This window comes from Homo sapiens, chromosome 1 (genome assembly GCF_000001405.40).
Source record: "Homo sapiens chromosome 1, GRCh38.p14 Primary Assembly".
In the NCBI taxonomy this organism is placed as follows: Eukaryota; Metazoa; Chordata; class Mammalia; order Primates; family Hominidae; genus Homo; species Homo sapiens.
The window spans coordinates 91,187,864-91,189,994 of NC_000001.11; the positions used below are offsets into that span (position 1 = coordinate 91,187,864).

Sequence of the window (2,131 nt, forward strand, 5' to 3'; positions counted from 1 at the left end):
TGTTTGTTAGTTTTCCTTCTAACAGTCAGGCCTCTCTGCTGCAGGTCTGTTGGGGTCTGCTGGAGGTCCACTCCAGACCCTGTTTGCCTGGGTATCACCAGTGGAGGCTGCAGAACAGCAAAGATTGCTGCCTGTTCCTTCCTCTAGAATTTTCATCCCAGAGGGACACATGCCTGATGCCAGCCAGAGCTCTCCTGTATGAAGTGTCTGTTGAACCCTGCTGGGAGGTGTCTCCCCATCAGGAGGCATGGGGACCAGGGACTCACTTGAGGAGGCAGTCTGTCCCTTAGCAGAGCTTGAGTGCTGTGCTGAGAGATCCACTTCTCTCTTCCAAGCCAGCAGGCAGGAACGTTTAAGTCTGCTGAAGCTGCACCCACAGCTGCCCTTTCTCCTAGGTGCTCTGTCCCAGGGAGATGGGAGTTTTGTCTATAATCCCATGACTGGGGCTGCTGCCTTTCTTTCAGAGATGCCCTGCCCAGTGAGGAAGAATCTAGACAGGGAGTCTGGCTACATGGTTTTGCTGAGCTACGGTGGGCTCCACCCAGTTCAAACTTCCCAGCAGCTTTGCTTACACTGTGAGGGAAAACCGCTTGCTCAAGCCTTAGTAATGGTGGACGCCCCTCCCCCCACCAAGCTTGAGCACCCAAGTCGACTTCAGACTGCTGTGCTGGCAGTGACAATTTCAAGCCAGTGGATCTTAGCTTGCTGGACTCCATGAGTGTGGGATCCACTGAGCTAGACCACTTGGCTCCCTGGCTTCAGCCCCCTTTCTAGGGGAGGAAACGGTTCTGTCTCACTGGCACTCCAGGCACCACTGGAGTATGAAAAAAAACTCCTGCAGCTAGCTTGGTGTCTGCCCAAATGGCTGCCCAGTTTTGTGCTTGAAACCCAGGGCCCTCGTGGTGTAGTCACCTGAGGGAATCTCCTGGTCTGCGGGTTGCGAAGATCATGGGAAAAACACAGTATCTGGGCTGGAGTGCACCGTTCCTCAGGGCACAGTCTCTCACAGCTTCCCTTGGATAGGGGAGGGAGTTCCCTGACACCTTGCGCTTCCTGGGTGAAGTGACGCCCCACCCTGCTTCGTCTTGCCCTCCGAACCAGTCCCAATCTGATGAGCTGGGTACCTCAGTTGGAAATGCAGAAATCACCCAGCTTCTGTGTTGATCTCGCTGGGAGCTGCAGACTGGAGCTCTTCCTGTTTGGCCTTCTTGCCAGCCACCTGCACCTTGACAAGATATTTTAAACAGCAAGAGTATGTTTTTTCTTGTCTAAGAGAACACACATGTACACAGAGCACAAAGAACATACACACACACACATGCAGATGGACGACTTTCTAAAGCACCCAAACTTGGGATTGTCATCATAATTAAGAAGAGGACATGTTCAGGGTGAGGAAGCACACAGGAGCCATTCATGTGCAGTGTGTCATGCAAGACGGATTCCTCCCTGACCTGTTTTTAAAAATCTGTTCCAACGAGCCCAGCAGGAGCAGGGGGCAGGCCCAGCTGCCCGCAAGTCAGGGCAACCAATGCCATGTGCTTGCATTGGAAGAAATAAAGCAAACCCAAGAACCCAGCCATCACTTGCTGTGGTCCAACTCTGTGGTAGCTGCTCATGAACATTTAATGGTGATTAGTTTTTTCTGCCTGCAACCTCTGATAGGAAAACTGTTGGCAGAGCTACAAACAATAGCTAAAAAAGACTACACCTCTAGAGAGAACAGCCTGGCCACTGAAGGGGTTTCTTCTCTCTGTCCTTCTGATTACCCCTGTATTTTCCATCTGACAGTGTTGGATACAATGTGCCTTTTCTGTTCCTGCTCATTCTTGGACAGTGTGTTAGTCTGTTTTCACACTGCTATAAAGAACTACCTGAGACTGGGTAACTTATGAAGAAAAGAGGTTTAATTGATTCACAATTCCACAGGCTGTACAGGAACTATGGTTGGGGAGACCTCAGGAAACTTACAATCATGGTGGAAGGGCGAAGGGGAATAAAGCACCTTCTTCACAGCATGACAGGTGAGAGAGAAGGGGGAACTGCCACACACTTTTAAGCCATCAGCTCTCCTGAGAACTCACTCACTATCATGAGAACAGCAAGGGGGAAATCTACCGCCACGATCCAA

At 50.9% G+C, this 2,131-nt stretch overlaps 1 annotated feature.

Annotated features, from left to right (window-relative positions):
• Nucleotides 797-1,297: an enhancer, noted in NCBI's record as "H3K4me1 hESC enhancer chr1:91654217-91654717 (GRCh37/hg19 assembly coordinates)". NCBI's record gives its function as "activates a minimal SCP1, AML or CMV promoter by ChIP-STARR-seq in naive H9 embryonic stem cells {active_cell/tissue: H9 hESC(naive)}" and the evidence as "EXISTENCE:reporter gene assay evidence [ECO:0000049][PMID:30033119]".